Raw genomic sequence first — 15,230 nt, forward strand, 5'->3', positions numbered from 1 at the left:
GAATTTCTTCACTATTGTTAATCTAATGCAAACTCTGAGACTTTAAAGTGCCCCTCTATAAGTCCTCATTTGTTACTGTAATAACCCTGCATGACATACATGTACATATACACATACATATATATGCACATATATCTCCCCATTTTACAGAGGTAGAAACTGAGGTCCAGGGCTCAATGATATAAATCACACAGCTAGTAAGTGGAGGAAGCAGGACTAATAACCAAAGCCCTTTGCTCTTTACATCACACCACAGTGCCTCCTGGGTCTGCATAGTTTTTATATATCCTAAGATCCAATCACACAATAGTGCTAATATGGTAATACTGACTTGAATGACAGGCTATCAAGACTGTTACAGAACCGGCTTATTTCAGCTGCATTGTAACTAGTGATAGTCAGAAACTAGATACTGCGCTTTTCCTAACAAATATACAAGTATTCTCATTCATTTCCAAACAATGTCTAGGTTGTGTTAGAAATTCAACAGTTAAACAAAATTCGCTAAGAGCTGACCTGGACTCAAAATCAAAATAAAGAATATTCTAATCTAGTCATAGAAAGAACTAGGACAAGTACTAATGTGTTCATTTCAATAAATATTAATAACAAAATAAGTAAATGAAAGTCATTATTGACTCAACATATTTTTCCTTAGTGTACTGAAATGAATGACCAAATGATACTTTAAGAAAGGAATCCAAGCAGAACCTTGGAAGGATTATAGTAGCAAAGTCAATTTCTGCTGCTGGGTTCTACCTTTATCTCATAATCAAGTTGAAGAATAAAGATCCCAGCTGCCTTTGGCAACAACACAGGTCAGGTTGGCTTTAATGAGGCTATCTTCCTCATTGACCTTCAGGAAAGTTGACCTCAGCTAGTGAAGAGTAGAGGCCTAGACAGGCCACCATAGAAATCTGGGTCAACTGCAAACTCATAATTTCTTTGATTCTTTTTTACATGTTTCACTACTAGCTCTATACATTTTGTTGTCTTTTTTCACACACACAAACAGAAATCCAAGCACCTTCTAATTTCTTTGAATTCTTGCCCATTGAAAAAAAATTCCTATGGCCCCAAATATCATCATCAGGTGAATAAAGAAAGGAAGCAGCATACCATTAATTCAGTGTTTGACTGATGTGAAAATTTTCTTAAATAGGCAAATGTGTATTAATTAGAAATCAATCTTAGCTGCATTAAGCATTTACAAATTAATGGGGTTTTGTTAATATATTTCCCAAAGAGTTTTCAGTTCTGATAAGTGTAACAAATTTGTATATGACAAAAATAGAAATACAATGCTCTAAGTTTGTCTAAAAGGTGCAATTGCTCTGTTGCTTTTCATTTTGGGAAATGTAAACCAAAGGGGGGAAGATCAGGGCATTTGACTATTAGAAAAACCAGACACCTATTTCAACATGGTATTCCTTACTTTATACAAGAAAATTAGAGAAATATCAGTTTATAACTCAATTACTTTTCAATATTAAAGTCTTAAAAATCATACATGTTAGAGCCCGAAGGAACTTTGTGGGATGACAGAATGCATACATTTGTCAAAACTCACTGAAGTGTACAATTAGATGGGTACATTTTATTGTGCATACACGTTCTTCAATAAAATTTAAAAAGCAAACGAGAAGTTACTGAAATAAAATGGGAATTCAACTAATATGTCAAAGAAAAAAAATGTTCTTCACATACCTGTGCTTTATACTTTCATAATTGTGTTATCTATAATTTACTTTCTATATTTATTAACTGATAGCTGAGGAGCTCAACAAGGACACGTTGACAGGATAGATTTCCTTACCACCCATTTCTCCCCCAAATCTTCTTCCAGGATGGGGCCAGCCCAGGAAATACTGACAGCAGGGCCAAAACTTTTCCCAGAAAGCAATTTGTGGTCTGTTTCAATATGTAAAAAATGAATGAGGTAAAAATTCTGTACGGCATAGTGAAATGATTATCTGAGGTTTTTTTTTCTTTTAATAATATGGGTTTCCCCATCCAGCTACAGAATCCTTTTGTCAACAAAGTCTCATAAAAATAGTATAAAACAAATTTATCGTAAAGAAATAACTACCAATATGTGATACTTATTTGAAAAAGGACCAAGAAAAATGAGTTAATTGTTTTGATAAATACTTTGAAATCACAGATACTGACAGCCCTCCTTGATTTTTCCCTGAATAGCTCTTTTGCCATTTCATCAAATTTGGAATGGGCAAAGCATAAGTTTCCTTAAAAACTGACTTAGAGACGAGGCACGGTAGCTCGTGCCTGTAATTCTACTAGCACTTTGGGAGGCTGAGGCAGGTGGATCGCTTCAGCCCAGGAGTTTGGGACCAGATTGGGCAACATGGTGAAACCCTGTTCCTACAAAAAATACAAAAATTAGCTGGGTGCGGTGACGTGTGCCTGTAGTCCCAGCTACTCAGGAGGCTGGGGTGGGAGGATCACCTGAGCCCGAGAGGTGGAGGTTGCAGTCAGCCAAGATCATGCCACTGCACTCCAGCCTGGGAGACAGAGTGAGATCCTGTCTAAAAATAAACAAATAAATAAATAAAAATAAAAAATAAAATAAAACTGACTTAGAAGCAAAGGCATCTAGTATCTGATTCACACACAGTTGAGTGTAACTGCAGCAAGGCAGGATGCTCAGAGCCAGTGAAAACAAACAGATGGAAGGAAGGCGGGGCCTTAACTCCTCTTCACTTAGGAATCATTTGTCATTTAGCATTGATGACACAATATTATGGGAAAGAAATACAGTAAATACCTTATTTAAGTCATTCTAGATAATGGTTTATTTCATATAAGTGACTTTTCTGGACAGGGTACCAACCTGTCCTGGTTTGCCTGGAACTTTCTCAGTTGTGGCACCGAGGATCTTTCCAGGTTGAAAGTCCTGGGTTCTGAGAACCCACCCTCATTCCCAGGCAAACCAAGATGACTGGTCACCCTACTTCCACAGATCTGGCATCTATCCTTTTAAGCACTAACACATTCTGCTGGCAGGCAGTTATGATATAATAGATAGGGCAATAGACTTGTAGTCAAAAGACCTGTCTTTCCTGTCTTCATCACTTAGTAGCTGCATAACCTTAGAACATCTGTTTCCTCATTTGTAAAATAGAAAGAGTAAGATAACAACTCCTATACAGGGTTGTAGTTAGGCCTGGATGATTAATAAAGTATGTGAGAGTGCACATGCACAATAAGTTTTGTTTTCTTTTCCTTTCATCATTTTTGGTGGAAATCATTCTATGTTTAACAAATGTCAATCAAACCGAGTTTGACACCAAGAAGGCAGCAATGTGAACATCTATTAGTAAACCACACTGCTATATATAGTGTAGTTCTATGCCTACTTTAACTTTGCAGTTTTTCATCTACAGTTTTTTGGGAAATCACATATTTCGTAAAAAACCTCAAGATGACCATAGGGTTATTTGGGAAAAAAACTAGACACACTCAAAATGTTTAATAATAAGGACACTAGTTAAGAAAAGTAAAACAGAACCCATGTAGCTGTATGTGTGTGGCCTACTGATTACCAAAATTATTAATCTTCCAGACAGCCCTTGGAGTCATCTTCACACCATCTACCACTTCTCCTCTACTTCCTATATGCAGCTGCCAAAACCTGTCCATTCTATTTCTGCAACACCTGTCAAAACTATCTTTCCCTTACTGCGGTTACCCTAGTTTCAGCCCTCAACAATTCTTGACTGGATCACAGCAAAGATCTTTAAATGGGTTTCTTTGCCTCTAGTTTCTTCTCTTTAGACTCATTAAAGTGTCATCATAGTTTTACTCTAAAACAGATATTATATTATTCCAAAACCTTCACTGAGCTCCATTCCATACAGCAAGACATTATAATCCCTAAGCATGGCTTTGAAAGCCTTCCAAAAAATCTTTTAAGTCCAACAACTTAACTAGGGTTCACAGACCTATTTAACAGTATAACTGGAAATAGAAGCTAGCTCTCCGGCTTCTTAGTCAAACAATTTAGCTCTTGTTTTTTTTTTTTGAAGTCACACATTTATACATTCCTTTCCAGTAGCTTCTTCCTTCAGCCTCCCTGACCCCAATCCTGAACCACCCGCAGCTTGTGCACCGGCCCCCTGCTCTCTGTCCCCTGACAAATGTTGTTCCCTCTGTATGATACTCCACGTGCTTCCTTCTCTGCCTGGTAAACCCCTACTTGTTCATCAAGATCCCACTTAGACGTTGCCTCAAAGTTCTCTTTAACAATCTCCCAAGCTGAGGGAGGCATACCCTGCTGCAATCTAGCAACCGCCTCCATAGATGCCTCAAGATCTTGGCATTTACCAAATCATTCCACTGCTGGTGATTTCCATTCCTGCCAATCCTGCTAGAAGGCAACATCAAGCATACAGGACCCATTTACCCAACTTAGACTCAACATCTATTATACATCTCCTGTCTCACATCAAAGTGTATGTATCACTGAATCAGAGAATGTTAGAAACAGAAGTGACAGCAAGACAGTCATCATCACATGCTCCTCTCTATCCTCAAATTTTACTCAGAAGGAAAATGAGGCCCTAGTAAGACATGCCCGAAGTCACACAGATATTTCATAGCAGAACTGGAAGATGAACCCAGGTCTCAGATTCCCAATCTAGCAATCTTTCTGTTACCCCATAGGCTGTGTGGAAGAGGATACTAAAAATGCCAAAACTTCAAGGAAATCTACTCCAGGTGGCATATCACAATGATTAAAGACTTCTCAGAGAATGACCAAGAAATGCCATCTACTTGCAGATAACTGGGTATGAATGTTAAAATGGAAAACTTCAAGGTACTACTACTACTGAATGCACTTGTTTTAAACAAAAGTAATATATGCCTAACTTTTTATGTCACTGGATGGTTTATATACTATATTATTTAATATTATAAATTACACGTCCCCAAAAAAGTTTCACTTGGAAAGAATATTTAAGATTGTAAGTTTTAACAATTTCTTAAATCCATTTATGTATGTGGATATTGTCTTTGGTTAATTATTCAGGGGTAATTTTATTAGGTTAAATGATCACAATTCCAAAAGCAGCATGTTTATGCAAAGAGCCTATCTAATTTTCTTCCACTAGAGGGAACTAAAGATCATATTATAGCTAGCTGGGCACCCAGCGTTTCACCAAGGTCTCTGGCTTTAGACAATATTATTGGTCTCAATAATAAAATACAAAGATGAGATGATTATTTGCCTTTAATGTGTCTAACAACAATAACCATCAGCTAACATTTACTGAGTACTTACTATGAGTCAGGCTCTATTTTAGATGTGTTGACCCATTTAACCTCGCAATAATTCTAAGGGGCAGATGATGCTCATGTTATATATGAATAGACAGAGAGCAGTTAAGTAACTCATTCACAGAACTAATAAGCTGCGGCCAGGGGCGGTGGCTCACGCCTGTAATCCCAGCACTTTGGGAGGCCAAGGCAGGTGGATCACCTGAGGTCAGGAATCTGAGACTAGCCTGGACAACATGGTGAAACCCCGTCTCCACTAATAATATAAAAATCAGCTGGGTGTGGTAGCACATGCCTGTAATCCCAGCTACTTGGGAGGCTGAGGCAGAAGAATTGCTTGAACCTGGGAGGCAGAGGGTGCAGTGAGCTGAGATCATGCCACTGCACTCCAGCCTAGGTGACAGAGCAAGACTGTCTCAAAAATAAAAATAAAAAGAACTAACAAGCTGCAAAGCAAAGATTGGAACCCAGGTAGAACCAATAAGCTGCAAAGCAAAGACTGGAACCTAGGTAGTCTGGCCCCAGAACCTATGCTCTTAATAACTCTGCTATATTGCTTCTTAGGTCTACAATGACTCAATTCTGAAGATGAACTTTATAGGTTAGCTATTTCTCTGAATTAATTCTAAAAATGGAAATACAAAGTCTTGATTAAAATAAAGCTCAATCAAGCAAATTTCCGTAATAAAATCATACCTTTCAAAAAAATCTTAGGTTTCAATTTCAATTCAATTTTCAATTTCAATTCAGTTTTCAATCTTAGTCCTTTCAATTTAAGTCACTTGATTATATTTGTGTAAAACTAGTTTTCTATTAAGACAGAATCATTAAAAACACAATGACAGCCAGGTGCAGTGGCTCACGCCTGTAATCCCAGCACTTTGGGAGGCTGAGGTGGGCAGATCACTTGAGGCCAGGAGTTCAAAACCACCCTGGCCAACATGGTAAAACCCTGTCTCTACTAAAAGTATAAAAATTAGCTGGGTGTGGTGGCGTGCGCCTGTAATCCCAGCTACTCAGGAGGCTGAGGCAGGGGACTCGCTTGAACCCGGGAGGCAGTGAGCCGGTTGCAGTGAGCTGAGATCACACCACTGCACTCCAGCCTGGGAGACAGAGCAAGACTCTGTCTCAGAAAAAACCCAGAAAACCCCCACAATGACTAGGTGGGACTTCTGGAATGGCTGTATAAAGGAGCTCAGGGATATCTCTCCCCTGGAGAGACATATATTTAGCTGGTCAAAAATCACAATCATTCAAAGTCCCTGGAGACTGATCAAAGGGCTTACAACAAATAGAGAAGCATTTATTCAATAGAATCTACAGAAATTCGATAAGAACAATAAGAGGCTGTAGCATTCGAGATAGGGACCACACAGGGACTGCACCTGTCCCCCCACAGCTCTGTTTTGCCAAAGAACTGTTTTAAGGAGTTCAGCAGCTAAGGGCAGATCCGCCCCTTGAGATGGAAGAGCTACTCGGGGTGGATTTGGCAGCTAGTAAACATTGGCAGATCCCATTTTCCACGGCTCCATGCTGTGGAAGGCCTATATAGAGCAAGCGGCAGAAGCTGATGGCAGCAGCCATTTCTCTCCCCTGAACTCCAGCTAAAAACAGAGGAATCAGGTGAGGAAGCTGGTAAACAGTGTAGTCCCCCCTGCCCACACAGCTCTGTGTTGTCAAGAGAGCTACAGAGATGTGTTTGGCAGCTGAGTGGCAGCTCCCATCTCCTTCAACTTCCTAGGGTGAAAGAACTATTCTGAGTACTTTCAGCACCTGGTGAACACTGACAGATATCATACTCCCTGGTTTTGAGCTGTGGAAGATCCACACTGAGTAGCAGCAGAGGCAAAAGGAGGCACAGTTCATACCTCCTCCTTCCCGGCAACACAAAAACCCTGCTTCAGAGGGAGGATCTGGGTGGAACAGCCAATGAGGAGTGAGTTCCCCATTTTCCCCAGCTCCTACTCTATAGTGCAGAGATTCTGCTCAGGGAAGGGTATAGCAAGTCTCAAAGACTAGAAAAACTTGTCCCTGACAAGGGACTCAATGTTATTTTATTTTTATTTATTTTTATTTTTTCTTTTCTTTTCTTTTATTATTATTATACTTTAAGTTTTAGGGTACATGTGCACAATGTGCAGGTTAGTTACATATGTATACATGTGCCATGCTGGTGTGCTGCACCCATTAACTCGTCATTTAGCATTAGGTATATCTCCTAATGCTATCCCTCCCCCCTTCCCCCACCCCACAACAGTCCCCAGAGTGTGATGTTCCCCTTCCTGTGTCCATGTGTTCTCACTGTTCAATTCCCACCTATGAGTGAGAACATGCGGTGTTTGGTTTTTTGTCCTTGCGATAGTTTACTGAGAATGATGATTTCCAATTTCATCCATGAAGGGACCCAATTTTAATTGGATCAGACTATGGAGCAATTTATACCACAAGGCATTGTCAAAAAGAAGGGAGCAATCAGCTATCGATTGGTTAAGTTTAACACCAATAGAGGTAGCAGAGAAATGCATGGATAAGGACCACACCTGTCCTGAAGAGGGACATCAGAGGTTGCACTGAACTAGTCCAGCAAGTAACTAAAAAAGAATAACCCTGGAGTGGAGGAAGGTGTCAGTATCCACAGTTGCTATAACAAAGTGTTAGGAGACATGCAAAATGCAGAAAAGTGTGACCTTTACAAAGGAGGGGAAAAAAAAGCAGAAAATAGAAACTGCCTTTGAGGGAGCCCAGATGTTGGAATTAGCAGAAAAGACTTCAAAGCAGCTATTATAAATACTCTCAGCTGGTGACTAAGAGCAGCAGGAATACTTAAGCAGGCTAATTCCTGTGAGATATGGGTCTCTGATGGTCAACTTTGGCTCAAGGACTCCCAATACGCCTTGCCAAAACATCCTTGAAACTGCACCTTGGTCAAATAATTTCCCCACCCAATCCTCCTCTTTTTCTTCCCTTTTTCCTCCAACGGGGTCAGACCTGCATGACCTGTGATGGCTGTCCCAGCCTCCTCCAGCTCCCTACCATTCATTTTCACTCTCAATAAATTTCTTGCACATCAAATCCCTTCTTGACATCTTTTTGTAGAACCTGAACACAAGCTTTCTGTAGAACCTGAACACAAGCTTTCAATAAGGCGAGCCAGTAAGAAGCACGCTGATATGCCTGTCAAAATGTCCCTAAGAAAGGTTTAGCAATAGGAAGCACCAGGTATCTTTGAGGGCAGGGTTGCATGGTGGAGCAGATAACAGGAGGACTGGCTGAACCTTTATAGGTATGCAGTATGACCTTGGATATCTTTGGCCAAGCAAATTATCCTTACCCCACTTTTTGGAGACTTTGGACACCAGACCCCTAGCTCACGTCAAACTGAAGTGCTGTACTCAAACAAGAGGATTAACTGGAAAGTTCCATGTATTAAACATGTTAAAATAAAGACCCTCAGCCTTTATCTCTCAGAACCACTGCAGTCAGACTTAAATGCCCCTACGTACCCTTTCTCCCCCTAATACACATACCCTTAGCCCAAGGCAGAAGATCAGAAGATTCTTCTGTCAAACTGACCTGCTTAAGAACAAAAGATCTACAGATAACGGATATCCATAAGGCGCTCAAAAAATGGCCTAGTCTTTGTCTGATCACTGATAATGAATTTACCCATATACAGAGTGTTCCCAGGCACCTATTTAACACTTCCCTCTTAATATTTTTCTGAGGAAACTGTTCCCTGTATAAGGCAAAGAAAATTTCAAAAATATACTACTTTGAGATAGATAAGAATATGAAACCTATGAAGACAAGAGTATGAAACTATATAATAGTTTAAAAGAAAAACATTCAGAAAAAAGTCCTTGAAAATAAAAAATGAGAGCTAAACCACGAGACTCAAACAGAAGGGTTAGAAGATCAAGTTGAAGAAATCTCTCAAAGTAGAGCAAAAAGATAAAGAAAGAGGAACAGGAAAGAAAAGGTTAGAGATGAAGCCCTACCTTATAAGCCCTTATGTTATTTGAATCACAGCAACTCCTGAAAAGAAGAACAAAGAAACTGGAGAAAAGGATGTTATCTAAGAAATATTTTAAAGAATTTCTAAACTAAAGAACAATGAGTTTCCAGATTTAAAAATATTTCTAAGCAATCAGTATAACGACTTTTAAAAAGGCCCACAGTAAAGCACATCATTGTAAAATTTTAGGGCACTGGGGTAAAGAGAATATCATTAAAGCTTTGGGAGAAAAACGGCCAGGCACTGCCCTAAGTGCTTTACATACATTATTCAATCAATCCTCTCAATAACTGTAAGGGCAGGTAAGATATTATGCCTGATTTTTAGATGAGAAAACTTAAGCACAGAAGGGTTATGTGATGTGCCCATGTCACACACAGCTGGTTAAGTGTGATATGAACCTAAGTAGTCTCGTTGCATCATATAAACTTTCACCCATATGCTATATATTTTCAAAATTGTCACCTAGAATTCTACACCCAGCCAAACTATCAAATTGTAGAGTAATATAAAGACATTTTCAGGTATCTCAAAAAAGCACCTCTTCTCAGAAAGTTACTAGAGGGCATACTTTATCAAAATGAAGAAGGAAGCCAAAAAAACCAAAAAAGCAAAAAAACAAGAAACCTAGGGAACAAAGACTCTAGCACAGATGAAAGGCAAAAGGAATTCTCATGACGAGCCCAGCAGGCCAGGACAGCAACCAACTTACAATGAAACAGATGAAAGGCTCACAGGCAGGGGGCCCTCTGTCACCAAGAAAAACAATGAATGTGATAAATTATCCAATGGGGTTGAATGTACCGAGGAAAGTTACACAGTTTAGTGGGACAGCCTAGGGATAAATTAGCAATAATACATAAAATAACAAGCAATCGGGCTGGGCACGGTGGCTCACGCTTGTAATCCCAGCACCTTGGGAGGCCGAGGTGGGCACATCATGAGGTCAGGAGTTTGAGACCAGCGTGGCCAACATAGTGAAACGCCATCTCTACTAAAAATATTAAAAAAAATTAGCCAGGTGTGGTGGCACGCTCTTGCAATCCCAGCTACTTGGGAAGCCGAGGCAGGAGAATTGCTTGAACCCAGGAGGTGGAGGCTGCAGTGAGCCAAGATCACGCCATTGCACTCCAGCCTGGGTGACAGAGCGAGACTGTCTCAAAAACAACAACAACAAAAAACTAAGCAATCAAAGAAATGAGTCAATGATTCACCCCAGATATAACAATAAATTACACAAGAAATACAATCATATTATATGAATAACTGAAATATGAATATTATAAAAATGGGGAAGGGAAAGTAAGTAGGGACCAGGAAGTGGGGTGGGAGGGTAGCAACATAAAACAGCTACATCTTTCATAGCAAAAAGGCAATAACTGATGATATCTGAAACTATGAAATCAAGAAATAGTAATATATGTTGCTGGTTACAGAAGAAACAGCAAAAATGCTTAAAGTGGTGGAGTTGGAACAAATTAGGAGAGACACTGCTTTTTTGTTGTTAGAAGTAGCATGATTTGACTTTTAAAACCATGTGCTTACATTACTTAGATAAAAGTAAAACCCAACCATATAAAGAACCAGAATAGAACTTTCTATATGGTCCACTAAAAAGCATATATTTATGATAATTGGCCAGGCGCGGTGACTCATGCCCACAATCCTAGCACTTTGGGAGGCTGAGGTGGGTGGATCATTTGAGGTCAGGAGTACGAGACCAGCCTGGCCAACATGGTGAAACCCTGTCTCTACTAAAGATACAAAAATTAGCCAGGTGTGGTGGCGGGCGCCTGTGGTCCCAGCTGCTCGGGAAGCTGAGGCATGATAACTGCTTGAACCCGGGAGGCGGAGGCTGCAGTGAGCCAAGATCACACCACTGCACTCCAGCCTGGGTGACAGAGGGAGATTCCATCTTAAAAACAAACAACCAACCAACCCTCAATAGGTCACATTCTCCCAAGAATTCCCCATGCCATATTGAGCTCTGAAATTGGGGCTGTGTTCAAACATTTTCTTACATAGGTGCCACCATCTGCATATTTATTTACATGCCCATACATAGAGACACACACATTAAAATAAGAGAGCAAAAAAACCTTAAAGCATGAAAGACAGAAAACAGAGAGAGCACAACTGTGAACTACTGTCCTTAGAAATCCCATCTTTCTCACTAAAACTACTAAGGTGACACCAGGGACATGCTTGCTTTGTAAGTAGTTCAACACAGGTCCTGGCTCTCTTCTTTTTTGGGAAGGGTTATTTTACATGCTACAAATTATAAAGCTCCCTGTCGAGGGTAACAATGCTGATGTAATTTGCTGGGGCTACAAGAGCATATCACCACCAACAAAAGCAAGCAAATTCTAGCTGTTTTATTTCTTGTTTAAACTTCATTTATTTAGTCAATTTAGTGTTTGTTCTCTATAATAACAAAAAAAAATGCCTTTTGTTAAAATAGACACTTAAGCATTACCTAATGGTGGTAATACTCATTCAGGTCTGGGATACTCTAATAAATACAATGCTCTGTACCGCAGACTGATGGCTTTCCTACTTTAACGTAAGCACTCATTTTATACTGTCTCAATTCATAAGGAGCTTGATGCACTGTTAATGGAGTACTAAAAAACACAATTAAAATGGCCTTTTCTTGTTTTATTTCTTGGTTAATTACAATGTTCAAACAGACTACTGGAAACAACTCCCTTTTAAAATTCTCAGTTTTGCCCTTTTTATCCTTTGTTTTAAAAAATATGGCATGGCTCTCATTAATGTCATTAGTTGCAATGCCTGATGAGAGAAAATGCTGACTTAGTGAACCTGGAATCAATTTTCTGAATTAAAAAAGGTTTTTTTGTGAGACTACTTCAGGAATAGTATTTATTTTCTCAGAAGCCTTCACTGTAGGAAATGCTTTAAGTAGTACAGTAGGTGCTAGATTACCACATCTACATTCATGTAGTGAAATCATATGAAACTTCTTGAACATGTTCCTTCACCGCTTTTCAGCCATTTAACCTTACTGCAACCTACAATTGTATGAGGAAGCATACAAAGACCTGAGAAGTTTCCTTCTCTAAGAAAACTAGACAAGTAACATGTCTTAGCTTTATATTTGTGGATTTAGGGACAAGGGTTACGCTTGACTAAAGCCATACATAGTGTCAGGAAAGAAATTAGAAAACCTAGAGAGCAACTGGGGAAAGGGGAAAGAGAAAGGGAAGGGGGCCTTATATGCAGAGTTCAAGAGCAACTAGGTTAACAGCTCCAGGATGGAAGAGCCAGGAGTAGCCAAATGATAACATGGATAGGCTTCAGGGCCACTACTGGAGGACAGGCAAAGAAAAGGTAAACCCAAGGTGTAACCAAGATGACTTTAAGGAGAGACACCATATTCAAAGATGCAAAGTCAGACTCAGGACCCTGAGAGACGGAGTGCCCCTAAGAGCCAACAAAGAGATAGGAAGGACAATACCTAGCACAGATATACCCACTCCCGTGACAAAGTACCATAGGTGAGCTGCTTTCAATAAGTCTAGGCTAGTACCCCCACAGCCCCAATGCCTAAGTCTTCAAAGAAAAGTTCAGCATCTTATGAGGTACAGACATTAAAGAAATAAGAAATATTGGAGAAGAGTACAGATGTGAGTGAGGTACAGAACAGGAACCTGTTATAATGATAATGGTTGGAGTAATATTGGGAATAAAGAGGTGCCAAGTTTTTAAAAGGATGGTATAATTACAGTAATTTGGACTGTCTGGTATATTCTGACTTTAGAGTGACTAAAATTAATAGCAAGTATTTAGAAATAGCATACATTCATATGATGTACTTCTCTGCCTCACACTTTACAATCATATATCTAAGTATTTTAAATGTTGGGACGTGTTCCTAGACTGCTTATAAATACTACTGAAATGACATTAAATATAACAGAAACAATAGATGGCAAAAAAATTTTTACTCTGTTCTCTAAAAAGGAGATGGGTAAAAATAAAAATAATTGTTACTGGATCAGCTACTGTGAGAGGTACACATTTGTAAAAGTATTTTAAAATTCTGTAAGTTTCTTGAGGGTGAAGACTATATGTTGTTCATTTCTGTTTGCCCTACAATGCTATGCACTACCCGTGACAGATGACACACACAGTAGACAATAAATGTTTATCAAATGAGATTTTGAAAAATTTAAATCCAGTGGAATATCCTGGAGCTTTAAAAAGAAAAAAGGACAATCTTAATACCATGCTATTGAGTGAACTCCAGAGTATCTACGACTTAATAAAACAAGAAGATGTAGAATAGTGTGTAGAATATGCCACCTTTTATCCAAGGAAGAGGGAAATGTGTGTGTATGTATGTGTATGTAAAAACACACACAGCTACAATATTTACAATTTTAAAGCAAAGACAATGAGTATAAACTGAAAGCTAATGAAAATGATTACTTATGAAGGAGGGTGGGAACAGGGATAGAAAACATACTTCTTTGAAAATATTTTCTTTTATAGTTTGCCTTTGGAACCACGTAAATGTTTTACATGATTATAAAAAATTAAATCACAATAAAAAACCCCCAAAAATCAAAATAAAACAATCTAAGAATATAGGAAGCTGGTGGCTAAACTGAAAAGAGACTAATTATTTTAGGTAAATTTTTCTTAAAAATCTTTTTATTTTGAAATAATTTGAGACTGAGAACATCATTGACTGTTTTGCTTTTATAAACCTAGCCACCACTTTTCCAGTAATGTAATTCTGCTCCCATGGTACCTTATCATTCTCAAACAACAACAACAACAACAACAAAAAACACCCCACTTTAATGTAGAGTTACAATAAAAAAAGATGGTCAGTGACAAGGTTCCCAAATGCTCTTAGATTTCCAATCATATGCAGATATAAGGAAGATGCCATCAGAACCTACCCATAAATGTTGCTTAAAAGATGTCTGACTTGACCATTTGAAGTAAAGAGCAGTGAAAATGTGACCCAAGAAAGACTGCTGTACAAAACCTGAAAATGGCCCCCAAAGCATTGCATCCCAGACACTTAGTACTGAAGCTGATTCCTTAATTGTCCCAGCTGCTCACCCACTTCAAAGCAGCATACTATGGTATCATAGTCTGTTTTCTGCTGTTATAACAGAAACCCACAGACTGGGAAATTTATAAACAACAGGTTTATCTGGCTCACTGTTGTGGAGGCTGAGGAGTTCAAGAGCATGGCATGAGCATCTGGTAAGGTTCGTCCCATTGCAGAAGGGCAACCAAGCACAAGACATAGAGAGAAAATGGGCCCAAGCTCATTCTTTTATCAGGAGCCCACTCCAGCAATAACTAGCCCACTCTCGCGATAACAACATAAATCCATTCATGACGGAGGATTCCTCATGACCTAATCACTTCTTTATGTATGTATGTATTTATTTATTTATTTGAGACGGAGTTTCACTCTTATCACCCAGGCTGGAGTGCAGTGGCATGATCTCAGCTCACTGCAACCTCCATCTCCCAGGTTCAAGCGATTCTCCTGCCTCAGCCTCCCAAGTAGCTGGGATTACAGGTGTCTGCCACCATGCCCAGTTAATTTTTGTATTTTTGGTAGAGATGGGTTTCACCATGTTGTCCAGGCTGGTCTCGAACTCCTGACCTCAGGTGATCCATCTGCCTCGGCTTCCCAAAGTGCCAGGATTACAGGTGTGAGCCATCGTGCCAGGCCAATCACCTCTTAAAGGATCCAGCACCCAATACTGTTACAACGGCAATTAAATTTCAACATGAGTTTTGGCAGGGACATCCAAACCATAGCACATGGTGATGATAAGCAAGGCCTTGGCAGTTTGACAAGATTGAGTTTGAATCTAGGTTTTGCCATTTACTCGACTGATATGTGAGCTTGAACAAGTCACTT

At 39.3% G+C, this 15,230-nt stretch overlaps 1 protein-coding gene across 11 annotated transcripts in view, besides 1 other annotated feature; it reads right to left on the bottom strand.

Annotated features, from left to right (window-relative positions):
• The window catches only part of CASK (calcium/calmodulin dependent serine protein kinase), a 408,621-nt gene that overhangs the window by 278,183 nt on the left and 115,208 nt on the right, over nt 1–15,230 (bottom strand). The gene's annotated exons all lie outside the window — the stretch shown is intronic.
• Nucleotides 9,765–10,306: an enhancer, noted in NCBI's record as "NANOG hESC enhancer chrX:41662134-41662675 (GRCh37/hg19 assembly coordinates)". NCBI's record gives its function as "activates a minimal SCP1, AML or CMV promoter by ChIP-STARR-seq in primed H9 embryonic stem cells {active_cell/tissue: H9 hESC(primed)}" and the evidence as "EXISTENCE:reporter gene assay evidence [ECO:0000049][PMID:30033119]".

Source organism: Homo sapiens, chromosome X, assembly GCF_000001405.40.
Source record: "Homo sapiens chromosome X, GRCh38.p14 Primary Assembly".
In the NCBI taxonomy this organism is placed as follows: Eukaryota; Metazoa; Chordata; class Mammalia; order Primates; family Hominidae; genus Homo; species Homo sapiens.